Raw genomic sequence first — 27,547 nt, forward strand, 5'->3', positions numbered from 1 at the left:
TATTTCACACACCTAAGCCCCAAGCAACAGACAAGGATCAGTCAATATGGTTGAGGGAACCTGCACTTTCTGGCATGTATCGGAATTCCTCAGGCTACAATTAAAAATCCAGAACTGCCATTGTGATCTTGACTTAGTCCTCAGTAATAAGTCCAAGCCCTGAAGGGATTGCAGACAGACCCTGGCGTGGTGTGGACCTGTTGCTCAGGGAGGTGTATGTGTGTGTGTTTGGGAGTGGGAAAGAGATGGCCCTTCAATTCCAGACTCCTCATTTTGGGTCTTATTCTCCTCCCTATAGACACACGGACAGCAGTCCCAAGAAAAGCAGTCCCTTTGAGGCGGCTGGGAAACCACTCACGTGCTCTGGGAGGACAGAGCTGAGCCTGGAGCAAGGGGGGAGGGGAAAGAAGATAATGAATGGGCACATCCACCCTGATCTGTGATCTGTAGCTAGGATTGAGCAAACCTCAGCTAAATTCTTCAGAGGCAGAAAGAGAGAGACACTCAAAGAACAACATAACTAGAGGACAGGGCTGGGAGACAGAAGGGGCAAAACAGGAAAACAGCTCATTTCTAGTAAGTGACTTTAAACTCAGCTGAGGTCCTGGTTGGTTCTCTGGCTTGAGGAAAGAGAGGAAGTAAGGAGTTGCGGGAGCGCACACACACTTCTGTGCGTGTGGAACGGTCTCACCCAGACGACCCCCCTCCCCCAAAGGAAATCGAGATATTCCTCTAGGGCTAGAGGGGACAACTGGTTTTGTGGGACAGGAGGAAGGAAAACGGCGACAGACAGCACTCCCTGTCACTTCTAAAAGAGAAGAGGGACAGGTTCCTTCACACCTAGCAAAGATCCTCCGATTCTGGAAGCAGGGGGAGCGGAACTTAGGGTACCTCTCTCCCACAACTAGAATGGACAGGCCAGAGGACAGTCATAGCGGTTTCCTTAAGGCTCACCAAAGGCAGGTAAGCTAAGGAAAGAAGCTCCCCACCTCCTATGGCCCGACGCCTGGGGAGCCCCTCAAGAGGGGGCTACGGGTCGGGGGAGGGGTCAGTATCCCCCTAAACTGGGGCTGGGCGGGAGGAAGGGCTGCCCTGGAGATGCTTCAACGCAGGCGAGACACCAGGTCCTGGGACAAGCATACTCACGGCGGCTCCGGGGCGGCGGCGTTACTTGGGGCCGGGGCTCGGACGGGATCCGCTTCTCTCCCCGCCGGCGGTGTCCCAGGCTCCGGCCTCCACTTCCGCCTTTCAGCCGCTCCGGATCCGGATCTCCACCTCCGCCCCGCCCCTCAATACTCCCAGGTGATTGACAGTGCGGAGACCAATGGGAGGCACTCTTGGCCGACCTACCCAGCGGCGCCGGTAGGAACGCGGGAGTGGCGGTAGGGAGCGCGCGAGGGATCGCGGGACTTGTAGTTCGCAGCGCTGGGAGGAGTCAGTGGCTGCCTGGGACTTGGGCTTAGGGTGGAGCCGGCTGACTGCGAGGCGGAGCCCGGCCGGAACTTTTTTTTTTTTTTTGAGACGGAGTCTTACTCTGTCGCCCAGGCTGGAGTGCAGTGGTGCGATCTCACTGCAACCTCTGCCTCCCGGGTTCAAGCGATTCTCCTGCCTCAGCCTCCCGAGGAGCTGGATTATAGGCACGCACCACCACGCCCGACTAATTTTTGTATTTTTTAGTAGAGACGGGGGTTTCGCCATGTTGGCCAGGCTGGTCTCGAACTCCTGACCTCAGGTGATCCGCCCTCTTCGGCCTCTCAAAGTGCTGAGATTACAGGCCTGAGCCACCGCGCCCAGCCTACGGCCGGGAACTTTTTAAGGCTAACCCTGCCATCCGCGTCACCGCCGGTTCCGGACGCCCCGAGGGAAGGCGGGTGGTGGAGCGTTGGAAGAAGGCAGAGGATTGTGTGTGCAGAATTGGGAAAGAAAAAACGTGGTGCGAATGAATATGCACGCGAGGCCTCAGTCCTGTGAACTCGCTGATCTGGAGAAGCCCTTGTCTGCACTGTCCGCCCGATTGCCAGGGGCGTCTGTGATTGGGAAGGTGAGGAAAGCGCTGCAGGAAGAGTTCTCTGCAGGATGCTGGGTGAGATCAAAGGGAGAGCTTCTGCCACCACCTCCTACTTGGTGTGTGCGGGGGCCGGCACAAAGACCATCTCTGCCTCTGCCTTCCCCTGCTCCTAGCCAGGGTCAGCTCTTCTCTCTGACGCGGAATACAGAGCTGGACAACCTCTGCCTCGGCCCTCTCCATCCGTAAATAAAGACTAGAACCACCCCCACTCTGCACTCTCCCCCTCTATGGATCAGGAATATTTGTTTTTTCTGCTCCTCTCAATATGGACTGGGCCCGCTCCTGATTCCTCCCACCCTTACCTCTCAACACAAACCAGTACCTCCTCTTCTTTTGCATCTCATCCTCAAGGGACACTACTGAAAACCTGTGTGGAATCAAAGCTCACCGGAGACAGCTGTGGCCATTGTGCCTATAACGCCAACACCAGGCATATCCTGGAGCCTCAGCTGGAGAATTTACCTGTCTTGGACAACCTGCCACAAAACTGTGCCCACATCTAGTTCCATCTGGTCATCAGGGCGTCTCTCTTTCTTACACCCATAACACACAATCCCCACTTCCGCGCCAGTGTTCATGAGAAGTGAAAAGGAAGAGGGAAGAGAGGGCTTGTTGGGAGGACAGAGGGGATGGGGCAGAGTGGGATTCCTAGCAGGTTCTGGCTGGTGACAAGCTCTTCCCCCAGCCCCCTTGCCATACCCAGTTCTGGAACAGTTCCTTATACAGGAGGGATGGGTAGTCCCCTAGGCCCACCTTTCCAAGGCTGGAGGTGGGCCAAAGCCAGGACTCTGTCCTTCCCACATACTGTGTGCATACATGGCTGTGACTGGGGTGCAGGGGAGAGAAGGGGGTATAATAGGCCCATAGTGACTAATTAAGTTTCTTCCTCAACCCTGGGGCCCCTGGTGGTGTGAATGTGGTGCCAAGTAGATTGGCTGGTGCCTCTGCCCTTCCTAGAGATAGCAACTGGGCCCTGGGGTACAACGAAGGTGAGGGTGGGGAGTGATTGCTGTGTTGGCTCCTCCAAAGCCCTGGGGCTCTCAGAGTAACCCCCAGAAACACCCAGAGCCAATAACTACAAAAATAAAGAGTTTATTTCCTATCCAAAAGTGAGCCCAGGGTGTTGGGTGGTAGAGGAGAGCTGGAGACCTGGGCGAGTTTTGGAGCAGTCCAGGCCCTGAGTGAGACCATGTTGTAATGGGGGAGAACAGGCTTGGCAGCGGTCTGGGGTCAGGGAAAGGATAGGGAGTGCTGTTGGGATTTTTGAGTTGCTAGCAGCAGAAGAGACCACCTTGAGAGACAGCCTGCAGAGAGACAGAAACAGAGATGTTGACAGACCCACGCCTAGGAGTAGAAGCAGACATTACTGGGCCCAAAAAGCACCTGTTGGGCACAGGGACCTGGGAACACACTGTTAGGTAAGGCAGAGGTTGCAAACTCAACCCCTGGGCTCCACCCCGGACATTCCAAATTGGATGAGGCCCAGGAATCTGCTTTTTATTTTTTTATTTTTTTGAGCCTCCGCGCCTGGCAGAATCTGCGTTTTAATAGGATCTCAGGTAGTTCTGATGGACACTCAAGTTTTGAGAACTCAAATACCCACAGAGACCAAACAAAAATTTCAAACAAGGGAAGCTAGCTGGGTGTCGGGAGATGATCAAGAAACGTGGTGACTGCGAAGTAGAGTGCAGAGCAGATCCCATCTAAAGAGGACAGTGGCCACCCAGCCCAGCTGATTGCCAGTTATTGCCAGATGGAATGTTGGCCCACGGTAGCCTGATGTCCTGAGGTTTTTTTTGTTTTGTTTTGTTTGAGCAGGGTCTCACTCTGTCACCCAGGCTGGAGTGCAGTGGTGTGATCACTGCTCACTGCAGCCTCAACCTCCTGGGCTCAAGAGATCCTCCCACCTCAGCTTCCAGAGTAGCTGGGACCACAGGCACACACCACTACACCTGGCTAATTTTTTAATTTGTATAGAGATGGGTGGGGGGGGTGTCTTGCTATGTTGCCCAGGCTGGTCTTGAACTCCTGGATTCAAGTCATCCTTCCACCTCAGCTTCTGGAGTAGCTGGAACCACAGGCACTCACCACTACACCTGGCTAATTTTTATTTATTTATTTATTTATTTTTGAGGTGGAGTTTCACTCTTATTGCCCAGACTTGAGAGCAATGGCACGATCTCGGCTCACTGCACCCTCCACCTCCCAGGTTCAAGCGATTCTCCTGCCTCAGCCTCCCGCGAAGCTGGGATTACAGGCATGCACCACCATCCCAGCTAATGTTTGTATTTTTAGTAGAGATGGGGTTTCTCCATGTTGGTCAGGCTGGTCTCGAACTCCAGACCTCAGGTAATCCACCTGCCTCGGCCTCCCAAAGTGCTGGGATTACAGGCGTGAGCCACCATGCCCAGCCTACACCTGGCTAATTTGAAAAATATTTTGAAAAATATTTTTCAAAATAATCCCAGCACTTTGGGAGGCCGAGGCAGGTGGATCATGAGGTCAGGAGATCGAGACCATCCTGGCTAACATGGTGAAACCCCGTCTCTACTAAAGATACAAAAAAATTAGCTGGGCGTGGTGGCAGGCGCCGGTAGTCCCAGCTACTCGGGAGGCTGAGGCAGGAGAATGGCGTGAACCCGGGAGGCGGAGTTTGCAGTGAGCCGAGATTGCACCACTGCACTCCAGCCTGGGCGACAGAGTGAGACTCCGTCTCAAAAAAAAAAAAATATTTTTATAGGCTGGGTGCGGTGGCTGACACTTGTAATCCCAGCACTTTGGGAGGACGAGGCAGGCGGATCAGGAGGTCAGGAGATTGAGACCATCCTGGCTAACATGGTGAAACCCTGTCTCCACTAAAAATACAAAAAATTAGCCGGGTGTGGTGGCGGGCGCCTGTAGTCCCAGCTACTTGGGAGCCTGAGGCAGGAGAATGGCATGAACCCAGGAGGCGGAGCTTGTAGTGAGCTGAGATTGCACCACTGCATTCCAGCCTGGGTGACAGAGTGAGACTCCGTCTATAAAAAAATATATATATATATATTTTTTTTATAGAGATAGGGTCTCGCTATGTTGCTCAGGTGGATCTCAAACTCATGGACTCAAGCGATCCTCCCACCTCGGCCTCCCAAAGGGCTGGGATTATAGGCATGAACCACTGTGCCCAGTGCTACATTTTGTAGAGAAATTGGAATATCTGTATTCCTATATAACCTGTCTCTTTTTTTTATTTTGAGACAGAGTCTCACTGTCGCCCAGGCTGGAGTGCAGTGGTGCGATCTTGGCTCACTGCAACCTCCGCCTCCCGGATTCAAGCGATTCTCCTGCCTCAGCCTCCCGAGTAGCTGCGATTACAGGCATGTGCCACCATGCCCGGCTAATTTTGTATTTTTAGTAGAGATGAGGTTTCTGCATGTTGGTCAGGCTGGTCTCGAACTCCTGACCTCAGGTGATCCGCCTGCCTTGGCCTCCCAAAGTGCTAGGATTACAGGCGTGAGCCACCGCACCTGGCCCTGTCTCATTTTTAATATTGGAACTAACTCATATTTTGAAAATAATGCTGCGCGAGCCGAAGAGTACATATCTGGAGCCATCCGTTTGTTTCCTGTGTGGGCTGTGGGATGAGGTGAGCCTCTCCAGCCTGGGCTCATGGTGGGCGGCCTAAGAAATCATGGGTTGCTCAAATTCCAAGCAACATCTCAAACCTACCCCTCTCTAGGTAACATTGCTCTTAAGGTCTTCAGCAGAGACCCAGGGGCTGAGACAGAAGACCTCACAATATCACTAAGCTATCTTCAGGCAAAATCCTACAACCTGTCTCTCTTGCTATAGACGCTAAGATCCTGTCTGGTCTTCCCTTCATGTCCTAGGCTGGAGCTGGGTCCCTTGCCCATCCCCTCTGCTCCCCCATCTCTACCTGCCTCCAGGTCCTGGGGAGAAAGTAGGATCTCATCTGCCCAGCCCAATGGGCACTGCGGTTCATCTCATGCCTGCTGGGTTCCACAGCCCTCAGGTGGCTCCCCTCACAGAGGGGGAGGTTGGGGAAGGCTTGGAAAAGGGAATAGCGTCAGAGGTAACCACGCTTCATTAAAAAGTCCAGAAATCCAGAGCCAACCAGGCCAGCTGGTGGCTGCTGACCCCAAGGCAGGAAGCCAAGGGGCCCAGGTCCTCCCTGAGTGGTGAGCGGCAGCGCCCACCCCAGACAGGCCTGGGCCCTGGGCCAGGGTCAGTGGAACGTGTCTGACCTGGACTGGAAACTGTGCCTCAAGAGGCTTGGGGTTGGGGGTGAGGCCTCTGGCACTGGAGAGGGTCCCAGAGGGTCAGGCTCTGAGGGGTAGGGGGGCAATATGGAAGGTCTCAAGTCCAGGAGCGCAGTCCCTGTCTCCATGGTCCCCACACTGGCTGGGCAGTGAACTTCAGCAAGCGTAGTATCCTGGAGGCTGGGTGGTGGTCTGGACGCACAAGGAGAGAGGCATGGTGGCCTCAGCTGTGGACAAGGAGGGTCTGGGGTCCAAGCGGAGCCTGCTGGGTGGCCTGGGGGACCCAGCCTGGCCTGCAGCAGGCCCATGATGTGCCGCAGCTCCCGGCTAAGCTGAGACACCTCCTGATTGAGACGAGAGATCTGTTGAAAACACATCGAGTTGTTTCACAGGTGCCACAGTAATAACAAGGTGCACCCCCCTCTCCAGTTTACAAAGCTCTTTCGCAGCCACTTTCTGCTCATGGCCACCCTGGGAAAAAGGCAGGATGAGGGTTATTTTTGCCTAGATGGAAAATGCCCCAGTCTCTTTCCAGAAAGGATTTGGGGCAGCAGATATTGCTATTCCTCCCCTACACACACACGCGCGCGCGAGCTTTCCCAAGATGTTAAAAAATGTGCTCAAAGAGGCCACACATCTGTGAAGTGACAGCCTTATTATTCTCAGCTGATCCCATCACACAAGCTCAAGGGTCTCTATCAGTGCTTTTCACACTTCAGCGACTAGAGAATCAACTAAGAAACTTTTGAAAAGGCACATTTCTGGGCTCCGCCCCAGACATTCCCAATCCTAAGAGGCCCAGAAATCTGCATTTAATAGGTTGTCAGGTAGTTCTTTTTTCTTTTTCTTTTTTTTTTTTTTTTTTTTTTTTTGAGATGGAGTCTCACTCTGTTGCCAGGCTGGAGTGCAATGGCGCGATCTCAGCTCACTGCAAGCTCCGCCTCCCGGGTTCACGAGATTCTCCTGCCTCAGCCTCCCAAGTAGCCGAGACTATAGGTGTGTGCCACCACGCCCGGCTAATTTTTTTCGTATTCTTAGTAGAGACAGGGTTTCACCGTGTTAGCCAGAATGGTCTCCATCTCCTGACTTCGTGATCCACCCACCTTAGCCTCCCAAAGTGCTGGGATTACAGGCATGAGCCACCGCGCCCGGCCTATCAGGTAGTTCTGACAGATACTTGTTTGGGAACCACTGGCCTAGAATTGAGGGATGCCTGAGGCCTTGAGCGGACTTGCCCTCAAGCTTGCTGAACAAGAGCCAGCCCCGCTCAGGCCCCAGGGCCTGAAACAGCCCAGGCACCGCCCCTCTGGGATGCCCGATGTTTATCAGAACACAGGGAAGGCTGGCTCCCAGGGGCTGGGCCTGGTTGCTCTGCGGTGACAACTCTGAGATCCCTTGGGGAGGAGGCAGAGGCTGAGCCTCAGCATATAGAATCTAGGTTCTTCCTGGACAGAGTTCAGACATCTGGATCCAGGTCCCCCAGGCCTGAAGGCCTCTCAGCCTCCCTGTCCCCTGCCCCTGCATCTGCTTAGCACTCATTACCCACGGCTGGGGTAAGGGAAAGAGGTAGGGCCTGGGCAGGAAAGAGTCCTACAGTGGTGGAGGGAGAAGAGATGCTCTTATCAGGCTGGGAAACTTGAGCCAGTCGGGGAGGAAGGAAACCAACTGGTACGGAGTGCCTATGACATGCCAGGGATTGGACCAGGCACATATGCACTCTCATTTCATCCTTAAAACTCTGGGAAGCACATATTACTATTTCCCCATTTTAGATGAGGAAGTTTAAGTTCAGAGCGGTTGTGGGACTTGCCCAAGGTTTAAGTTCAGAGTGGTTGTGGGACTTGCCCAAGGTCATCTAGCTAGCGTGAATATCTCTCTCTTTTTTTTTTTTTTTTTTTTCTGAGACAGAGTCTTGCCCTGTCGCCCAGGCTGGAGTGCAATGGCGCAATTTTGTCTCACTGCAACCTCCGCCTCCCAGGTTCAAGCGATTCTCCTGCCTCAGCCTCCAGAGTAGCTGGGACTACAGGTGCCTGGCTAATTTTTGTATTTTTTAGCAGAGATAGGGTTTCATCATGTTGGCCAGGCTGGTCCCAAACTCCTGACCTCAAGTGAGCCACGTGTAGGGTCTGAAATGCTGTTATATCAGGCACGTCTCTGAGCCAGCCCCAACCCACCTCCTGGTTCAGCCGGCAAACCTTTTCCTTCACCTCCTCAGCCTCACTGGCCAATTCTGGGCTGGGCCTGGTCCCTGCAGGGTGAAGGGATGCAGGTGAGTTCATGGAGCATTAATACCTGAGCCTATAACTTGGGCTGGAATCCTCCTGTCATTGGGCAGGCGGAGAGCAGGGGGAGACAAAGCTCTAGGGTCTGTAAGATGGGAAACCTAAACTCCTTAGCCTGGTTCTGAGGCCCCTGTGTAACTCTCCAGCCTCATCCTGCCCCTTGCCCCATCTTGGTACGGAGCTTCTCTTTGGTGTCTGAACACAGCATCCCTCTGGTTTTCATGCCTTTCAACAATTGTTTTTGTTTTTTTTTTTGAGATGGGGTCTCACTCTGTTGCCCAGGGTGGAGTGCAGTGGTGTGCTCTCAGCTCACTGCAACCTCTGTCTCCGAGGTTCAAGCAATTCTCCTGTCTCAGCCTTCCGAGTAACTGGGATTACAGGTGTGCACCACCACGCCTGGCTAATTTTTGTATTTTTAGTAGAGATGGGGTTTTGCCATATTGGCCAGGCTGGTCTCGAACTCCTGACCTCAGGTGATCCACCCTCATCAGCCTCCCAAAGTACTGGGATTACAGGCATGAACCACCATGCCCAGCTCAATAACTGTTTTGCTCCACTCTTCAAGATCCCACCCACCCTTTAAGAAGCAACCCAAGCATCCCCTCCTCTGCAAGGAAGTCGAGTGAGCACCTTCCTCTTCTACCACAGAGTCCTGTTCTTGTCTGTCATGGTATTTAGCATCTGGAATTGTTTATCTGTGTACAGAGGTGTCTCCCTGCTAGACTTACTCCAAGAGCGTGGGCCAGGTCTGTTTTATCTGTGTATTCCCAGGATGGCACCTGGCACATGGTAGGCCCCTACTACATATGGGATGGATGGACAGGTGGATGGGCAGATGGATGACGGGGTTGAAGTCCACTGTTGGCCCTTACCTGTAGGGGGCGCCTGGGAGCGGGGCCTTGGCAGTTCAGGCCTCCTGCTGAATCGGAATGAAGGGGCCTCAGCTGTGCTGCCAGAGTCCTCAATGCCATCCACTATCCTGGGAACAGGGCAGTGCTCATCAGCACCATGGGGTGAGGGTAAGGGCCAGAGCAGAGCAGACAGAGGGGGACTGGGGGCAGCAGTGCCAGGGGGCGGAGCAAGAGCAGCAGTCAAAGTGGGTTGGGGTTGCAAGCTGTGGTTGGAAGGGTGCGGTGGGCACACGGGCAGAGACGGAATGTAGCACTGTTTGGAACGCCAGGGATAGAGCCCAGAGAAGGTTCTGGAAGCCAATAGGGGTTTTGGGAAAGCAGGGGAGGCTGGCGTCTCACCGGGGACTGAGGTCCGGAGGTCCAAAGGTTCCCAGTGGGGGAATGAGAAGCTGAGGGGGCTTCCAGGCAGCAGAGCACCTGGGGGGGCCGTGAGGGGAGGCACTGTGGCCCTGGCCAGCCAGGGCAGGGGACAGGGATGGGGATAAGGAAGGAGAGGAGACAAGGGCTGAGAATGGGGGCAGCTCCTCGCCCAAAAGGCTGACCAGGGAGCCCCGAGGCCGTGCTGGGCTGAGGTTGGGCAGCAGGAGGGGCCGTCGGGGCCTGGGACCACCCCCAGGCTCCGCGCCACTCTCGGCCTCTGTGATGGATGGCAGCGTCTTGTCTGAGGAGGAGCCGAGGCTTTCTGAGCGGGGCTGCGGGCAGAGGGGGCAGCTGATGTCGCAGGACAGTGAACAACAGACCCCTTCATTAAGTAAGAGCCTTCGCCGGCGGATGCAGCTCCCCATCCATGGAAAGGGGGATGCTGCTACCCATCTCACCCTCTCCCCAGGGCAATTCAACCCCACCCAGGAAGTGGGTGTTACCTGGGAGAGGCGAGGGGATCGGGAAAAGCGGCTGAGGCCCTGTGGGGACATAGGAGAGTTCAAGCTGATTCCTGCCTTCCCGCGGCCATAGCGCAGACCCTCCCTGTCCCACCCAACAGTGTTATGGGGTTGAGAATGTGGAGTCTTTTGTGGAGCTGAGTCAGAAACTATAACCCTAACTCAAACAAACACTGCATATCAAAGTGAGACTGAAAAGCAGCAAAAGACCAAGGCCCAAGGTGTAATGTACAGGCCTGGCCCAGAGCCTAAAACAAAGTGGACTCAGGAGACATTTGGTGAGAGAAGAGGAACCCCCAGGGCATGATGCCCCGTCCAGAGAGGGGCTTGAAAGAGGAGCACATGAGGGGGTTGTTTCTAAAGGGAGGAGCCTGGCTGGGCATGGTGGCTCACGCCTGTAATCCCAGCACTTTGGGAGGCTGAGGCGGGTGGATCACCTGAGGTCAGGAGTTCGAGACCAGCCTGGCCAACATGGCGAAACCCCATCTCTACTAAAAATATAAAAATTAGCCAGGCATGGCATGCATGCCTGTCATCCCAGCTACTTGGGAGGCTGAGGCAGGAGAATCACTTGAACCCGGGAGGCGGAGGTTGCAGTGAGCTGAGATGGCGCCACTACACTCCAGGCTGGGTGACAGAGCCAGACTGTCTCAAAAAAAAACAAAAACGAAAACAAGACCGGGCATTGTGGCTCATGCCTGTAATCCCAGCACTTTGGGAGGCCGAGGTGGGTGGATCACCTGAGGTCAGGAGTTCAAGACCAGCCTGGCCAACATGGTGAAACGCTATCTCTACTAAAAATACAAAAATTAGCAGGGTGTGGTGGTACACACCTGTAATCCCAGCTACTCGGAAGGCTGAGGCAGGAGAATTGCTCCAACCCAGGAGGCAGAGGTTGTGATGAGCCAAGATCGCGCCACTGCACTCCAGCCTGGGCGACAGAGTAAGACTTCGTCTCAAAAAAAAAAAACAAAACCCAAAAAAACAAAAACAAAAACAAAGGGAGGGTCCTTTGAAGGAGTCAGGAGTCTGGGGTGGGGCTGAGGGGTGGTCAGCAGGAGATGGGGCAGTAGAGTTGGGAGTAGATGGCGATGAGAGACGGCCAGGGGCCTGGGTGATGGCCAGTGTAGTGTCAGCGGGGTTGGAAGGTATGAAGCAGGTAAGGGGCAATGGAGGAGGGTGCCTGGGCTTCAGGCATGTGTTTTTAGGGTGGAGGGAGGTTCATGGGACTCTCAGGCTGGGGAGGTCTGCTTTGGAGGAAGGGACTCTGGAAGGATGGCGGTCATCAGGGGTGTACATACACTGGTGTCAGAGCCCTGGCGCAGGTTGAAGGTGAGGTCCCGGGGCAGGCCAGCCCGGAAGGCAGCCCCATACTCAGGATAGAGCCTCAGGACCTCAGCCAGCCCTCGGCTGCTCAGCTGCTGCAGGCCACAGTAGGTCAGAGCTTTCACATCAGCACTGGTCTTTAGCACGAAGTTTGGGTCTGCTCCCAACCCAGGCTCCTGCCCCGGCTCAGGGATATCTGCTCCAATCAGGTCCCCCTTCCCTGTAGGTAAGGGATGGGGACAGTCAGCTGGGGCAGTGAGAACGAAAGGATATCAGCTGGAGGTGCTCAGTGGATTTGAGGGGTGGTCAGTGTGTTTGAAGGATGGTTGAAGGTGGGCCAGTCAATGGGATTGGTGGAAATAACCAATGGAATTGGGAAAAGGTCAGTGCAGAATGACTGGTAAGGCTGGGAGACAGTCAGTGGGAGTGAGTAGGGCCAGAGGAACGATCAGTGGAATTGGGTGATAAAAATCACAATGGCCGGAGGGGTCAGGTCAGTTAGAGGGTAAAAGTGAATGGAGTTTAGGGTCACTGGGGAAAGGTCAATGGGGTTGGGAAGTGGAGCAATGGGAAAGGATCAATTGAGCTGGGGGACAGTCACCGGGAAGGGTTGATGGGTTGAGGGATGCCCAAGGGGATTAGGGGGAATTGTCTAAAGGCGATGGTCGTAGGGCGGAGGGACCGAGAGAGTACTCCTCAGCAGGAACTGTAGGTATCCACGAGGGGTATCCCATTCCCTAGAATCCTGGCCATTCCCAAGTCCTCAGTGGGGGTTGCGGGGGGTGGTTCCAGGGTAGGTAGTAGAGGGTGACGGTGTCCTTACCCAGGATGGCCAGCACCATGTTGTCTCGGAGCACCTCAAGCGAGCCGGAGCAGACATAGTAATGTGCCTGCAGGGCATCCCCACGGCGCAACAGGTACTCGCCCGGAGCGCAGAACGAGGTCTTGATGTGCAGCGATAGGGCCCGCAGGCAGCCCCTGCTCGCTGCCCCGAACAACGGCAGCTGCAGGATCTCCCGATTCAGGTGCATAGCAATGTCAGCTCTCAGCTCGTCTGGGAAGTCACGCAGTAACTGCATAAGGGGCATAGGTCATTCTGGCCATCCCCCTGCAGCTACTACTTGAGTCTACAAATGTGCTGAGCTGTCTTCAAAGAGAGAATTCCTCTTGCCCTTGCTTTGAAGTCACCCATTCCAGACCTTCAGTACAACCTCTGTGTCTAACCTCAATTTTGCTTGCTGCATGTACCTCACAACCCAATTTCAGGGGCAGAGACCAGGTCTTCTCCCATCAGTTCCCTGCCTGTGGCTACATGCTGGTCACTTAACCCCATCGTTCAGAAGCCATCACTTGGGGGTCAGCCTTCAACTGGGAGTCAGGAGACCAGGAGTCAGCTCGGCTCCTAAGTCCCTGTGGACCTTGGGCAACCCATTTCCGCTCGCTGGGCCTCAGTATCCCAGTCTGTATCTCAGTCTGTAAAATGCAGAGTTGTTATTAGACCATGGGCACTACCAATGACCTCTTATGGCCACACTGCATGTTCACATCCTCATATGGAGCCCCTTGGCCACCCTGGCTTGTTGAACTCTCCCCTTGGTCCCCCTGGGCTCCTGTGAAGGGTTCCCTCCTGGTTCCTCCCACTGCTTACTTCCTCATTTCCTCTCAGGCTCCTCTTCCTCAGCCAACACCCTGGACTCTCACTTTCCACACTCTCCCTGCATCATGGCAACTGGCCCCATGGCTTCCCTACTACCTGAGTGCCCTGAGCCCTAACTCTGGGTCCAGACCTGATTTCTTTTTTCTTTTTTTTTGAGGCAGAGTCTCACTCTGTTACCCAAGCTGGAGTGCAGTGGCACGATCTCAGCTCACTGCAACCTCCGCCTCCCAGGTTCAAGTAATTCTCCTGCCTCAGCCTCCCGAGTAGGTGGGATTACAAGCACGCACCACTACGCCCAGCTAATTTTGTATTTTTAGTAGAGACGGGGTTTCACCATGTTGGCCAGGCTGGTCTCAAACTCCCAGCCTCAGGTGATCTGCCCGCCTCAGCCTCCCAAAGTGCTGGGATTACAGGTATGAGCCACCGCACCCAGCCAAGAGCTGATTCCCATCTACCTACCGGGCAGCCTCTCTCTGGACCTCCCCCAGGCACTATACCCTCCTCTTGGTCTGACCCGGGACTCTCACCTTCATCCCAAAGCCCATCTTCCCCCTGTTATGCCTCCATCCCCACCCTTGGCCTAAGCCAGAAAACTGGGAGTCACTCTGAGCTCCTCTCTTGCAACCAGCAGGAGATTACCACGTCCCACAGATCCCATCCTCAGAGATACCTCACCAACCCATTCCCTCCAAGATCCCCACACCACTCCCCAGTCTAAACATTAAGCAGGATAAAATCTAAATTCTAGGCCATCCCTGAGCTGGGCCTGCTGCCTCCCAGCCCATGTCGTGCCTTCCTGCCCTGCCTTCTCCCTCCGCAGCACTCACATGCCCATTCCTGCGGGCTTATTGAGCCGCTTTCAGTTCCCTAAAGCGCTCACTCTGCTCTTTTGTGCCATCACTTCTGGCCTGTGTCCCTAAGGCCATTTCTACCTGGCATTGCCACCTTCCTTGACTCCTCCCCACCCAGGCACAATGAGGACCTGAAGGCACCGACATCCCTCCTTTACAGCCCCATTCAGCGCGGCACTCTCTGTTCATCTTTCTGCCTCCCTCAATACTCTGGGTCTCCCTGAGGGCCAGGGCTAAGTGTCATCATCTCTAAGCTCTCTGTGCCCAGCACCAAGGCTGGCCCAAAGCAGGCACTCAGGAAATGTTGGCAGAAGGGAGAGTCGCATCAGCTGGGCCCTGAGCTCTTTCATTCCCTTATTCAAGTGCAAAGAAACAAGAATTTGGCCGGCTGTGGTGGTGCACGCCTGTAATCCCAGCAAATTGGGAGGCTGAAGCAGGTGTATTACGATGTCAAGAGTTCGAGACAAGCCTGACCAACATGGTGAAACCCCGTCTCTACTAAGAATACAAAAATCAGCCGAGCATGGTGGCAGGTGCCTGTGATCCCAGATACTCAGGAAGCTGAGGCAGAAGAATTCCTTGAACCTGGGAGGCAGAGGTTGCAGTGAGCTGAGAGCACACCACTGCACTCCAGCGTGGGCGACAGAGCAAGACTCCTTCTTGAAAAAAGAAAAAAAGAAAAGAAGCAAGAATTTGTATTTTGGGCAAATGTGTGCCCTTGTGAACAATACCTCACCCCCCGGGCCCTGTTTGCCTCCCTTTTATTTTATTTATTTATTTTTTTATTTTTATTTTTATTTTTATTTTTGAGACAGAGTCTCGCTCTGCCGCCCAGGCTGGAGTGCAGTGGCACAATTTCGGCTCACTGCAAGCTCCGCCTCCCGGGTTCATGCCATTCTCCTGCATCAGCCTCCTGAGTAGCTGGGACTATAGGTGCACGCTGCCATGCCCGGCTAATTTTTTGTATTTTTAGTAGAGATGGGGTTTCACCGTGTTAGCCAGGATGGTCTCGATCTCCTGACCTTGTGATCCGCCCACCTCGGCCTCCCAAAGTGCTGGGATTACAGGTGTGAGCCACTGCGCTCAGCGCCTCCATTTTATTTATTTATTTTTTTTGAGACAGAGTCTAGCTCTGTCACCCAGGCTGGAGTGCAGTGGCATGATCTTGGCTCACTGCAGCCTCTGCCTCCCTGGTTCAAGTGATTCTCGTGCCTCAGTCTCCCTAGTAGCTGGGATTACAGGCGTGCACCACCACAGCTGGCTAATTTTCATATTTTTAGCAGAGACAGGGTTTCACCATGTCGCCCAGGCTGGTCTTCAACTCCTGACCTCAAGTGACCTGCCCGCCTCAGCCTCCCAAAGTGCTGGGATTACAGGTGTGAGCAGCCGAGTTCGGCCTGCCTCCATTTTAAGCTACAGGGGCAGCGACTCCTTCCCCACCCCACTGCAGGGCCACGCGGAGGGCAAGGGCAAGATTGGAGACCCTGCAGGCTACCTCGTTGGCGTCGATGCCGCTGTTGACGGCCCACGTGGTCTGGAAGTATTCGAGCATGCGCTGCTTGAGCGGCCGCGGCAGGCGGTGCACACGGATGAAGTCCTTGAGGTCCTTCATGCGGCTGTGGTAGAGCGAGCGGCGCGAGTACATGCGCTGGATGATGGCTGTCACGTTCCCGAACACCACAGCGTGCATCAGGGCTGCAGCAGCAGCAGCGGGCCTGTCAGGGGCGGCCACCCCTCTGGCCACCTCCCCAGCTCCCAAACCCACCCTGTCCTGGACCAAGAGCCAGCGGGCTCCTGTGTGCCTACCAGGTGCCAGGCACTAGACTAAGGGTGGGGAATAGGGAGTGGTCCAGAGATGGGTAACACCCCATGCTCCTCTCAGGCCTCCCCACCATTAGGTCATGAACCTGGGTTTCCCATCCCCTTTGCAAAAGTCCACGCCTGTTTGTGGCATCCCCAGGGCCAGCACATAGTGGGCACTCAGGAAACGTCCGTGAATGAATGCGTGACTGTCTGGACTTGGGTAGACACCTCGGGCAGATGTCTTGCCCTCTCTGGGCCTCAGTTTCCCCGTGCATGCTGGGCTTCGCAGGGCCCCACTGAGGCGTGGCAGGTCTGGCCTCACCGCCTATGAGCATCGTGCAGATGGAGAAGATCTTCTCCGCGTCGGTGTTGGCACACACGTTGCCAAAGCCCACACTGGTGAGGCTGCTTAGAGTGAAGTACAGTGCCGCGATGTAGGCGCTGCGCCGTGATGGGCCGCCCACCGAGCCATTGACATAGGGCACCTCCAGACGCTTGCCCAACTCATGCAACCAGCCTGCAGGGTGGACGGATGCAGGGAGCCCTGGCTGTGCCAGCGGTGGAGAACCAGGGTTCCCTGAGCCACCTACGCTTGACCTTCGGCAAGTATTTATACACAGGTTGGCACAGGAAATGTGGGGAGTGGCCTGGGCCTGTGTCTCCCCATGGTGCATTGGTTACAGTTGCATTCCAAGGCCGCCAACTAACTACATTGCTGAGTGTTCAAAGGCTCCTGAAACTTTCTAATAGTTTATTGTGCACCTGCTGTATACAAAGTGTTGGGGAATTGACCCAGCCAAACACTCTCCCTGCCCTGGTGGAACCTATAGCCTGGAGGGGAAAGAGACATGACATAAATCATTACAGGTGGGAGGTGAGCTCCTGGAAGGAAAGTATTGTATAGGGTGTGTTAGGAATCCTAACAGGTTAGGGAAAGCCAACCCATTGGCAGTTGGGGGTTCTGGACATGGTGCCTGGAAGGCATGCTCCTTAGGACAGGACATTTTGGTTGAGACACATGGAACCGAAGGAACATTGTTCCAAGTGAGGCAGGGAACGGAAAATCCATCTAGGTGGAGAGGGAAGACAAAAGAGGAGGATTCCAGAGAGGAAAAGAACATGTTCCAGGCCCAGCATGAGAAAGCAGTATGTCCTGGGTCCAGGGGAGAGGCTGGTGTGGCTGCAGCGCAGGGAGCACGGGAGAACGGGAAGGCAGGTGGGGAGAGAAGGGGCACAGGGCCGCCCAGGGTGTGCAGTGAGTGTGGACTTCATTTGGAGGGCAGTGGGAAGCCACTGAAGGAATCCCAGAAGGAGTGTAGTGGGTCAACGTTGAATCCTGGAACACCCATTTGGCTGTGGTGAGGATGGTGGTTGTGGGGGGGATGAGAAGGGGATTGGGAAATCAGTAGGGAGGCTATTGCACAGGCCTGGGTGAGAAAGGGAGGTGGAGTGGACTGGGAAGGGGCAGAGAGGATGGAGAGAAAAGGTCAAATTCACGGGACATTTGAGAGGTGGTATTGATGTGGTGGGCTAGGTGTGGGGTAAAGGAAAGGGAGGTGTCAGGGACCATGCCCGGGATCTGACAGGCCTTTCAGAGGGATTCCAAGGGCCTGGGGCTGTCTCCTGGCTCATGGCCATGAAGCTTGGAGAAGAAGGGATTGATGGGGGCAGAGATGCTAAGCTCTTTCTGGGACTTTTCACGTGCTGCTCCTTCTGCCTGAAACACACCCCTCCACCCTCAGAGTGTTTCCTGCGTTGTACTTTGATCACTATCACTGGTCTTGCTCCCCCACTAGGCTGTGAGTTCCCCCCAACCTGCCCCCAAAACAGAGCCCTTGTCTGCAAATCAATATTCCCATGCTTGATCCAGAAAGAGCTCAACGCATGTTTGTTGGATGGATAGAGGAATGTGGGATGAGGGGTGTGGGTACTGGTGGAGGCATCAGCTTGGGGATGGGACAGGTGGACAGGTGGTCTGTGAAAGTTTGGGGTCGGTGGCTCACCAATGTCCCAGAGCAGCGGGTCATTGGCCTCCATCTCCCGGCGCCCGATGACATACCAGATGCAGGCCATCCAGTGGGCAAGGAGCGCAAAGACCGACATGAGCAGCGTGAGCACCACAGCACTGCACTGAGAGTACCGCTCCAGCTTCTGCAGCAGCCGCAGCAGCCGCAACAGCCGCACTGTCTTCAGTAGGTGCACCAGCGAGGTCTGCAGGAAGGTGGCGGGGGAGGCTGTCAGCAGGCACACCTCCTCCGAGCCCTCAGAGTCCCCTCCCAGGGCCTTCCCACCAGACAACCTGGAGCCAGGGCAGGCTGCAACAGGAAAGACATCTTTGCTGTCCTGAGAAAGTGGCCAAGGAATGCAGCAGCAAGGGAATAATAACAATAAAACAAACAGTGGCTAACACTTTGTAATTACTTTTTTTTTTTTTTTTGAGGTAGAGTCTCGCTCTGTAGCCAGGCTGGAGTGCAGTGGCGAGATCTCAGCTCACTGCAACCTCTGCCTCCCAGGTTCAAGCGATTCAAGGCTGCCTCAGCCTCCCTCCCCAGCTAATTTTTGTATTTGTAGTAGAGACAGGGTTTCACTACATTGGCCAGGATGGTCTCGATCTCCTGACCCCGTGATCCACCTGCCTCGGCCTCCCAAAGTGCTGGGATTACAAGCGTGAGCCACTGCACCCGGCCTTAGTAAGTACGTTCTATGTGCTTAGCCAGGCACTGTGCTAAGCATTGGTAATCCTTATTTAACAACACACACACACACACACACACACACACACACACACACACACACACTTATACCTTTAGTTCAATTATCATCATTCCTAATTTGCAGATGAATGAACTGAGGTTCAGGGAGGCTAATGACTTGTTCAAGGTCACAGACCAAGGACACGATAGAGTTGGAACTCAGGGTGGGCATCTGGGCTGACTGACACCACAGTCCACCTTGTGCTCTACAGCCACTAAGCACTGGGAGATGGTAGGGGAGCCGGCCCTAGTCAGAGTCAGGGGATAGGCAACAGTCTCTGCAGAGCCCCAGTAGCGACGGCAGCAATTGTGATGGGGACCCCCCTTTAAGACATGGAGAAGCATAGTGGAGTGGGGACAGGCAAGGACTTGAGGGCTGGGGGAGGTTTATGGACACTTCTTCTTGTGGATCGGCTGCAGATGAAGAGTCAAGCAGAAGAGTTGAGGGGGCAGGAGAGCAGGGACTGAGGGAGGCTGGGCTGTGCTAGGGGTTGACGGAGATAATGGTACCTGGTAAGTGTCCCATATTCACTAATATTACCCCAAGTACCATCTGCATTGTGGTTATCAATATTGATTAGCCCTTCAATCTTGGAGATGGGCAGGGCTTATCTTCTGGGTGGGAGCAGCCTGGCAGCTAGGACTGGAGGCTCTGGGGCAGTGCCTGGGGAACTTGGTATGAAAGCCCCTCATTGCCCCTTCCTGGGCCTCCAGGAACATTCCCCACAGCCCTGGCCCTACACTGCTCCTGGACCACCTCGTGCAATTTTTCTCTAATTTTAGGTGAAGGAACTGGAAAGGAGGTGGCTCTGATTCCTCCATATGGACCCTCGCCAGGGTTTAATGCCTACCCCCAGCTCCCAGAGCCCTTGACTGCAAGCTTGAGTTCTTCAGGGCTTCCCTCAGTCAGCTGCCCTTGGGCCACTCTCTTGGGGATACTCCTGTCATTCTCCTTGGACTAGAATATCCAGGCCTGGCTCCTTCAAGTCTGCAGCTCTGCCAGTGCCTGCTCATCTTCTGTCTCTGCTCTACCTCTCTCTGGCCCCCAGTGGTATTCCTCATCTCACCAGACCATCCACTCAGGGGCCCTGGTTACCTGGGAAGCAGGGTGGTATGTTGGAAAAAATACTAGACTGGAAGTTTAGCGATCTGGTTCTTTTTTTTTTTTTTTTTTTTTTTTTTTTTGAGACAGAGTCCCTGTCGCCCAGGCTGGAGTGCAGTGGCGCAATCTCGGCTCACTGAAAGCTCTGCCTCCCGGGTTCAGACCATTCTCCTGCCTCAGCCTCCCAAGTAACTGGGACTACAGGCACCTGCCACCACGCCTGGCTAATTTTTTTTGTATTTTTAGTAGAGACAGGATTTCACCATGTTAGCCAGGATGGTCTTGATCTCCTGACCTCGTGATCCGCCCGCCTGGGCCTCCCAAAGTGCTGGGATTACAGGGTGATCCACTGCGCCCGGCCAAGCTGGAGTGCAGTGGAGCTATCTTGGCTCACTGCAACCTCCACCTCTGGGACTCAAGCAATTCTTGTACCTCATCCTCCCGAGTAGCTGGGACTACAGGTACGTGCCAGCACACCCGGCTAATTTTTTGTGTTTTAGTAGAGAAGGGGTTTCACCTGTTGCCCAGGGTGGAGAGACCTGGTTCTAATATCCTGCCTGCCCCTGCTAGGTATGTGACCTTCAGCAAGTCACTGAACCTCTCTGAGCCTCTGTACCTACCTCTGAAAAAGGATAAGCCTCTGCCCTGAAGGGTTCCCGTGGGGCTCCCATGTGATGATGAGTGTGAAAGAACATAGGGAACTGTAACGTGCTCCCAAAGGGACCTGAGAGGAGGGGCAGGGGGCTCTCTGTAGTGTCCCACTCCCCAGCTGATGGTGCCTGGTGGGCATAGAGGGGTGGGCGCACCCCTGGGGAGGGGTAGGGAGATCTGCTCAGAATGGTCAGAGCCTCGAGGCAGACGTACACACATGCACGTGTGTGGGAGCACGCACACACGTGTGCACAGCCAGGAGAGGAGGCCCACAGCCCGTTGGCGGCTAGTTAAATTCGGCTGCGTGTAGGTGGTTTCCTGCTATAGCTGAGTGCAGGGAGAGAGCACACAAGGAAACTGCTCCCCACTTGCCCGCCCCACACCCAAGGGGGCCTGGGGACACGGGGTAGCACTGCCCCACCCTGGACTTGAGAAGACCTACTATCTGCTGGCTGGGGCCACAGATGACCACTCAGGGCACCTCCAGAGTGTCCCCAGGGATCTGTGAGGACTCAGGTCCTGGCATTCTTTGCCTCTGAATTCACCCCACAGCCTCTACCTTCTTGTCTAGGTTTACTATGCTCCCCCAAATGCTTGCTGTCCTCATCTCCTTCCAGCTAAATCCTACTCACCCTTTAAGGTCTAGCTATACCATCTCCGCCTCCCTCAGGAAACCTTCCCAGACCCCTCCAGCCTCTGCCCAACAAGGGCGCTTTTGCTTCCCAGGTGCTGGCCAGACTTCAGATCATTTTTACACACACTCATGTTCCAGCCTGGAACTCCAAGGTCAGCCCAGCCCCTCTGTAGCATACCCGGGCCCCATCTTCCACCCCCATTCACCTCTTCTGTCCCTGATGTGCTCTGTGGCATTCCTGCCCCCTCACCAGTTTGGCTGTTTAGAGGCTGAATCCTTGTTCCCTTTCCCCACAGTGGCCATGCCCCACACAGTGCTTTGCAGACAGCTAAATGCTCATCAGTTGTTTGTTAAATAAAAATGTGAAAAGTACCACTCATTTGGCATCAGACCAATGCCGCCTTGGTAGCCATAGTTAGCTTTTCATTTGTCTCAGCTTCCCTCAAAGATTGTGAGCTGAGCTCCCCAGGATCACAGACCCTCGGGATCCTCCCAGTACCTAGCACAGGGCTATGCCCAGAGCAGGTGCCTGATAAATATCTGCAGATGGATTGATGGGAAGGGGCATATCTGGGTTTGGGGTCAGTCCCTTCCTGGAAGATGCTGTGCTGAAGTTGGGAGGTTGGACTGGATGGCGGGATGGAGGTCACTCACCACGGTGATGTTGAAGATGTAAAGCAGGTCAAAGGGCAGAGCAGCAATAAGGTCGATGAAGAACCAGGTGGCCAGGTAGTGGAGGCCAATGGAACGAGGAGCAGAGATTACCTGGCCGGACTGGGACACATAGGTGGTGCGGAAGTTCAGGATGATATCTGGGGGTGCAAGAGGCTATTACTGGGGGGCCTTGGCAAAGGGGTCAAGAAACCGACAAAGCTGGGAACAAGCTTTGGAGACTGGAGGAGGAGGCAGGCATGGAGAGATAGATTGGGCTTCTGGCTGGTCCTTAGGGAGGATAGGTTACAAGGCTGAAGGCTGCGGGGAGCAGGACACATGGGCCATTGGGACTTAAAGATGCAGAAAGGAAGGGGCTCTGAATGTCTGGGTCATGTGGGCCCCAGGAGTGGGTGAGGCTTGGCCAAGTGGATCCCCCCAGCCGACCCACCAGGGTGGGTGAGGCAGAAGGTCTGACCTAGGATGAAGAGCATTTCCACGGCGATGTCGCTGACAAGGGTGTGTCGCGAAGTGATGGGGGTGTCATCGTCACCCGAGAAACAGACATTGTAGGGGACGGTGACCGCAACGTAGAAGGTGGCAAGGAGGATAAGGCCGTCCCAGATGGCCTTGGAGACGCTGTAGTGGAGGAGGAGGCAGCGAGACCCCCCCACGGAGGCCACCTTGTACTCGGGCACTGATGGCTTTGGCTCAAACACGTTCTAAGGGGAGAGGGGTGGCGGTTGGGGACACTTGAGGGAAAGAGGAGCCAAGATGGGGGGTGGGAAAGGCAGGGGATGGGGAAAGTTAGCAGGTGGGCACTGCAAGGGCACTTTTGACCATGAATGAAAGGAGATAGAAGGCCAGGAGAGGGGCGCAGAGGCTGACACCTGACATTTTCTTCTCCTGCCAAGTATTTCCCAGGCCCTCCTCCTTTTTTTTTTTTTTTTTTTTTTTTTTTTTTTTGAGATAGGGTCTTGCTCTTTACCCAGGCTGGAGTGCAAGGGCATGATCTTGGCTCACTGCAACCTCCACCTCCTGGGTTCAAGTGATTCTCCTGCCACAGCCTCCCAAACAGCTGGGACTACGGGAACATGCCACCACACCTGACTAATTTTTGTATTTTTAGTAGAGATGGGGTTTCGCCATGTTGGCCAGGCTGGTCTTGAACTCCTGACCTCAGGTGATCCACCCACCTCAGCCTCCCAAAGTGCTAGGATTACAGGTGTGAGCCACTGTGCCCGGCCCCAGGCCCCTGTTTGAACCAATCATGTCTTGTCAAGGGTATTTATGAGGCTTGACATTCACCCAACTTGATTTTTACATTTTTAAGTTTAGAGACAGTCTCACTCTGTGCCCAGGCTGGAGTGCAGTGGCACCATCATAACTCACTGCAGCCTTAAACTCCTGGGCTCAAGCTATCCTCCTGCCTCAGGCTCCAGAGTAGCTGGGACCACAGGCATGCACCACCATAGCCAGATAATTTTTTTTTTTTGAGAGTTTCACTCTTGTTGCCCAGGCTGGAGTGCAATGGTGCAATCTCGGCTCACCGCAACCTCCACCTCCCGGGTTCAAGTGATTCTTCTGCTTCAGCCTTCCAAGTAGCTGGGATTACAGGCATGTGCCACCATACCCATCTAACTTTGTATTTTTAGTAGAGATGGGGTTTCTCCATGTTGGTCAGGCTGGTCTTGAACTCCCGACCTCAGGTGATCCGCCTGCCTCAGCCTCCCAAAGTGCTGGGATTACAGGCATCAGCCACTGCGCCTGGCCTCCAGATAATTTTTAATTTTTTTTTTTTTTTTTAGAAAAGGGGTCTCACTATGTTGCCCAGGCTGGTCTAGAACTCCTGGCCTCAAGCAATCCTCCTGCCTTGGCCTCCCAAAGTGCTGGGATTACAGGCATGAGCCACTGTGCCTGGCCCAACACTCATCCTACTTGAGAAGAAGACTATGACAAATCGGCACATGCCCTAGCTTGAGGGGTACCTAACTTCTCCCTTAAGTTCCTCTTGGGTTCTGGGGGCCCAGTGGGGGCTGGGTATATCCCAGCAGGGAGCAGAGGCTGGCATAGCCCACCGCATTCCCTGTATCCCTAACAGAGGGTTGGGGACTCAATCCCCTGGCTTGGTCAGGATCCTAGGAGGTGGTACACAGGTCTAGATGCCAGGCCTGCAATGAGGGCTTTCTCCCTAGAACTATAGCAGCTTGCAATTTCACCACCCATGGTATAACCCTATCACCCCCGGGCAGGTGAGGTCATTGCTGCTAGAGCAATGTGACATCATCGGAGCAAAGTAATGTCAATCACCTAAGGGAATGAGGGAGATAGGGATAGAAGGATGTTGGGGGAGGATATAGGATGGAGCATATACCATATAGAGTAGTATATGGGAAATGGGTGGGCAGAGGAGCAAGCCAAGGAGGGACACCAGACAGACAGGGAAGTGGGGAGACAGTGGCAGGGGTGCCTCAGAATCAAGGCTGGAGGACTTGGGAGATGTTGGGTTGGGGGTGGGACTCACATTATTGGCCTTCATGCCTCCCTGGCCCCGGCGGCCAAAGTGGCCGGTCAGTCGGTGTAGGACAGTACGGCTCCGTCTTCTGGCAGACCGAAATTTCCAGGTGGCTCCCCTTCTACCAAGGGAGTTTTCTGTTGGGAAGAAAGGTGCAGAGATACGTTGGGGCACATCCCTTGCGGCTGGTTAGGCGAAGGCTTCTGACCATTCACACTGCCCGTCCGGACTTGCTGTTACCGTGATTACTGTCCCCGCGGCCTCCTTGGGGGCCAAGTCCTGGGCTTCCACTCTGAGTGATATCCTTGAAGGAAAAGAGGAACAGCACGACCTCCCCCATCTCATTCTTGATGGGCATCATGTCCAGGAGGCACCAAAAGGCTGAGCCTGTAGGCATGGAGAGAGGGAAGGGAGGAGCATGGGCAGCCCCATGGCATGCCTTTCTCCTCATCCCTCTCATCCTCCTAGACATAGTTAAGAGCTTGGCAAAGCAAGAACCAAAAGGAACCTCAGAGATTCTGTCAGCCGATTCCTTCATCTTTCAAATGGGGGAACCCAGGACCAGAGAGGTCAGGGATACGCTCCGTCACAGTCAGCTTTTGGCAGTGTGGGGACAAGCACTCAGACTCCTACTGTGCCCAGTGCCCTCTGGATAAGGCTAGGGGTCTAGGCAGAGCTGCAGGGTGGGGTGAGCCCCCTCACCATCCTTGCGGTAGAAGCAGATTTCAGCCCGGTGCTCCTGGTGGCCCTCCAGGGCTTTGTGCAGACGCTGCAGGGCTGGCTCACTGGTCTCTGGGCCGTAGAGGAAACGGCAGCTGCAGGTCTTCTGCATGACCTCGGTGCGACCGTAGCCTGTGAGCTCGCAGAAGCCGTCGGAGCAGTAGACGATGGGAAAGCCCCGTGTGCCCTGTGCGTTGGCCAGCAGGAAGTTGCTGTCTGTGGGAAGAAGAGGTCAAGGTCAGGTCAAGGCTGGGAGGCGAGCTAGCTTCCAGGTGGGCAGCACTTCCTCTAAGTTGGGGTTAGAAGTCACAGAGCCAGAAGCTTCCCAGGTTTCCATGTTGCTCCTGACCCCACTTTGGGATATTCTGAATTGAGAATTGGAGAAGTTGGAGCAAAGAGACAAGGACTTGAGACAGGACTTAAGCAGGGTCTAACGGGGAGTTGGAGAAGGACCCCAGGAGGTCATGCCATCCATCCCCCTGCCTTCCAACTGGTGAGCTGTCACTGTAGAAGGCAGTATAGCATGGTGAGTAAGAGCCTGGGCTCCTGCAACCCTCCACTGCCACTTACTAACTGTGTGACCTTGGGCAAGTTGATGACCTCTTCTGTGCCTAAGCTTTCCTTATTTGCAAAGTAGGGCATAATAGGCCTTCCTCACATGGTCGTTGTGAGAGTTACATGAGTTAACTTGGGGAGAACAAGTCCTAGCACATGGTAAGTGCTACTCTGAGAAGGTGAAATTTTTTCCCCACATTCACTTGGCTTTCTTCCTATTACAGAGTAAGCAGGGCAGAGATTCTGATGACACCACACCCATTTATTGATAGGAAACCAAAAGGCAGAGATTATCCAAACTCACAGATCTCCTTAGTGTGGGGGCAGACAGTGATGAGTGCTGTCTTCCTTCCCTGCCTTCCAGAGAAGGTCCACTTTTTAGCATTCTTGTAGCTGCTTTCAGGGGATCTGCCCCACTGCTCAAAGTCTAATGGGAGAGGGCATTGAGCGTATAGCTCCAGCAACCCCCAGCAGCAGAACCCGAGCTGTCTCCCTCCAGCTCCAATGGGTGGGAGGCCAGGGGGACTCCTGTGGGCCATCCAGGGACAGAGACTCAGCTAAGAGATGGGGCCTGTGACACAACCAGTCCTGGTGCTCTAGGAGGGATGACTGTCTGGGGGCAGGGAGGCTGATGGGGACACTGAAGGTGCCTGGGAGGCACTGGGCTCTGGGCACAGCCTCCTTCTTCCATCCCAGGGCCTGTTGCCCCGGTGATGGGCGCTATGGAAACAAGGTGGTGGGGAAGAGGGTAGGGCCCGGCGGCTCAGTTTCCGCCCTCGGGTACCGCTCCCCCACCATCCAGATCCCGGCCAGGGTTCCCGAGGGAATGGCGGGGTTGGGGGAGGTGAGGGCGGGGAATCTCTGGGTTCCAGAGTGGGAAGAGGGAATGGCGGGAGAAGAGGCGGGGGAGGAGTGATGTGGCTGTCCAAGGTGCTGAACCTGAAACCCAAGCTACGTTGGGCGAGCTGGGAGTTCCCACCGTCGCACAGACCGCTCCCCTCCTCCTGCCTCACCCACCTTAGACACTGACGCCCCACGATTTGGGGGCGCGCGACCTCAATCCAAACTAGGTCCTGCTGAAGTCTGATCTTTTCTCCTTTTTTTCTGGAGGTAGTGGGAGCTGGAGTCTGTGAGTAGACCCCAGAATGCCCGGCCACTTTGCCCCACTTCTGTGTCTCGGATACCCCCATACACGCCCCCAGCACAGCTCTGCCCGAGAGTGGGCGGCTCCGAAGGACCCTCCTCCGCTCTGCCGCACAAAGAGCCTCTTCTGCCTCGAGTCACACCCCCTAACCTTGGCCCCCGTGCTCTCGGCCCTTTCCCCTCCTCCCCTCGCAGGGCACTCCCCGCCCTGTTCCTGCACCGCGGCTTTGGGAGTTCCTAGACCCGCACCTCCATTCTCTCCCCTCGCCTCGGGTCTCACCATGTCCAGGAGATCCGAGACGGCCCCGAGGATACTTGCCCCCCAGCTCGAACCTCAAGCCCCGACCTCCGTCCCACTCACGCGTTCCGTCAAAACGGGTGGCGATGGTGTCCAGGAAGGTGTTTTGCGGGGCCAGCAACCCCTTCATGACCGGCATGGCCCCGGGGCGTGGGTTCAAGGCGCGGCGCTGGGGAGCTTTCAGCGCGGCCGGGCCGGAGGGGGCGCGCTGTCGGAGGGGCCGGGGCGCCCCATGCGCCCTCCTGCCTCCTCCCCTCCCTCTTACTGCCGCTGCCGCTGCCGCTGCCTCTGCTCCGAACCCCGTAGCTCTCGGCTCGGCTCAGCGCCGTTTCGGTCCCCCCCACCTCCCCACGGGCCAGGTTCTTCCCCTCGGGCTCGGCCCGCACCCGCCACGTGGCCCCACACGGGGAGGGGCCGCTAGCGACACCCGCACCCCTCTGGGCAGCCCTCCTCCCAGAGGGGAGCGGCCCACGCGTGTCTCTCGGGG

General features: G+C 55.1%; 2 protein-coding genes and 1 long non-coding RNA gene across 6 annotated transcripts in view, besides 9 other annotated features; 1 reads left to right on the forward strand and 2 right to left on the reverse strand.

Annotated features, from left to right (window-relative positions):
* The window catches only part of RAB5C (RAB5C, member RAS oncogene family), a 30,011-nt gene extending 28,768 nt beyond the window's left edge, over nt 1-1,243 (reverse strand). For all 3 annotated transcript variants that reach the window (NM_004583.4, NM_001252039.2, NM_201434.3), the window contains exon 1: nt 1,147-1,243. The gene's annotated coding sequence lies outside the window, so the exon portion shown is untranslated. The remainder of the gene's footprint in view (nt 1-1,146) is intronic.
* RAB5C-AS1 (RAB5C antisense RNA 1) lies at nt 654-3,177 on the forward strand. Of its 2 annotated transcripts, none has more exons than NR_187282.1 (3): nt 654-963; nt 1,253-1,362; nt 2,022-3,177. It is a non-coding gene; the product is annotated as an RAB5C antisense RNA 1 (long non-coding RNA). The 2 variants fall into 2 exon arrangements; NR_187281.1 differs by having other exon boundaries at nt 2,420-3,177.
* Nucleotides 695-1,315: an enhancer, noted in NCBI's record as "H3K27ac hESC enhancer chr17:40306459-40307079 (GRCh37/hg19 assembly coordinates)". NCBI's record gives its function as "activates a minimal SCP1, AML or CMV promoter by ChIP-STARR-seq in primed H9 embryonic stem cells {active_cell/tissue: H9 hESC(primed)}" and the evidence as "EXISTENCE:reporter gene assay evidence [ECO:0000049][PMID:30033119]".
* Nucleotides 695-1,519: a biological region, named in NCBI's record as "Sharpr-MPRA regulatory region 9875".
* Nucleotides 1,225-1,519: an enhancer, noted in NCBI's record as "tiled region #9875; HepG2 Activating DNase matched - State 1:Tss, and K562 Activating DNase unmatched - State 1:Tss". NCBI's record gives its function as "activates a minimal TATA promoter and a strong SV40 promoter by Sharpr-MPRA in HepG2 and K562 cells {active_cell/tissue: HepG2 | K562}" and the evidence as "EXISTENCE:reporter gene assay evidence [ECO:0000049][PMID:27701403]".
* Nucleotides 1,402-1,511: an enhancer, noted in NCBI's record as "active region_12189". NCBI's record gives its function as "activates an Ori minimal core promoter by ATAC-STARR-seq in GM12878 lymphoblastoid cells {active_cell/tissue: GM12878}" and the evidence as "EXISTENCE:reporter gene assay evidence [ECO:0000049][PMID:35858748]".
* Nucleotides 3,145-27,396, reverse strand: KCNH4 (potassium voltage-gated channel subfamily H member 4). Its single transcript, NM_012285.3, has 17 exons — nt 27,124-27,396; nt 25,047-25,280; nt 24,585-24,731; nt 24,354-24,481; nt 22,308-22,551; nt 21,833-21,990; nt 18,042-18,249; nt 16,361-16,555; nt 15,731-15,930; nt 12,551-12,800; nt 11,703-11,947; nt 10,384-10,422; nt 9,860-10,212; nt 9,482-9,588; nt 8,502-8,575; nt 5,985-6,689; nt 3,145-3,372 (listed from the first exon to the last, which is right to left on the reverse strand). The coding sequence occupies exons 1-16, from the start codon at nt 27,197-27,199 to the stop codon at nt 6,294-6,296; spliced, it is 3,054 nt and encodes a 1,017-aa protein (NP_036417.1). The 5' UTR covers nt 27,200-27,396; the 3' UTR covers nt 3,145-3,372; nt 5,985-6,293.
* Nucleotides 5,702-6,372: an enhancer, noted in NCBI's record as "H3K27ac-H3K4me1 hESC enhancer chr17:40311466-40312136 (GRCh37/hg19 assembly coordinates)". NCBI's record gives its function as "activates a minimal SCP1, AML or CMV promoter by ChIP-STARR-seq in naive H9 embryonic stem cells {active_cell/tissue: H9 hESC(naive)}" and the evidence as "EXISTENCE:reporter gene assay evidence [ECO:0000049][PMID:30033119]".
* Nucleotides 16,145-16,439: a silencer, noted in NCBI's record as "tiled region #11697; K562 Repressive non-DNase unmatched - State 23:Low". NCBI's record gives its function as "represses a minimal TATA promoter and a strong SV40 promoter by Sharpr-MPRA in K562 cells {active_cell/tissue: K562}" and the evidence as "EXISTENCE:reporter gene assay evidence [ECO:0000049][PMID:27701403]".
* Nucleotides 24,637-25,138: an enhancer, noted in NCBI's record as "H3K4me1 hESC enhancer chr17:40330401-40330902 (GRCh37/hg19 assembly coordinates)". NCBI's record gives its function as "activates a minimal SCP1, AML or CMV promoter by ChIP-STARR-seq in primed H9 embryonic stem cells {active_cell/tissue: H9 hESC(primed)}" and the evidence as "EXISTENCE:reporter gene assay evidence [ECO:0000049][PMID:30033119]".
* Nucleotides 25,789-26,356: an enhancer, noted in NCBI's record as "H3K4me1 hESC enhancer chr17:40331553-40332120 (GRCh37/hg19 assembly coordinates)". NCBI's record gives its function as "activates a minimal SCP1, AML or CMV promoter by ChIP-STARR-seq in primed H9 embryonic stem cells {active_cell/tissue: H9 hESC(primed)}" and the evidence as "EXISTENCE:reporter gene assay evidence [ECO:0000049][PMID:30033119]".
* Nucleotides 27,306-27,545: a silencer, noted in NCBI's record as "silent region_8517". NCBI's record gives its function as "represses an Ori minimal core promoter by ATAC-STARR-seq in GM12878 lymphoblastoid cells {active_cell/tissue: GM12878}" and the evidence as "EXISTENCE:reporter gene assay evidence [ECO:0000049][PMID:35858748]".

Source organism: Homo sapiens, chromosome 17, assembly GCF_000001405.40.
Source record: "Homo sapiens chromosome 17, GRCh38.p14 Primary Assembly".
NCBI classification, from domain to species: domain Eukaryota; kingdom Metazoa; phylum Chordata; class Mammalia; order Primates; family Hominidae; genus Homo; species Homo sapiens.

Excerpts from the sequence above, each read along its gene's own strand:
- KCNH4 (NM_012285.3), bottom strand. The coding sequence starts at position 27,199 with ATGCCGGTCATGAAGGGGTTGCTGGCCCCGCAAAACACCTTCCTGGAC. Across the intron at positions 24,732-25,046 it reads CTGCTTCTACCGCAAGGATG|GCTCAGCCTTTTGGTGCCTC; the intron begins GTGAGGGGGCTC and ends CCATGCCTACAG. Across the intron at positions 12,801-15,730 it reads GCGGCATCGACGCCAACGAG|TTACTGCGTGACTTCCCAGA; the intron begins GTAGCCTGCAGG and ends CCCCTTATGCAG.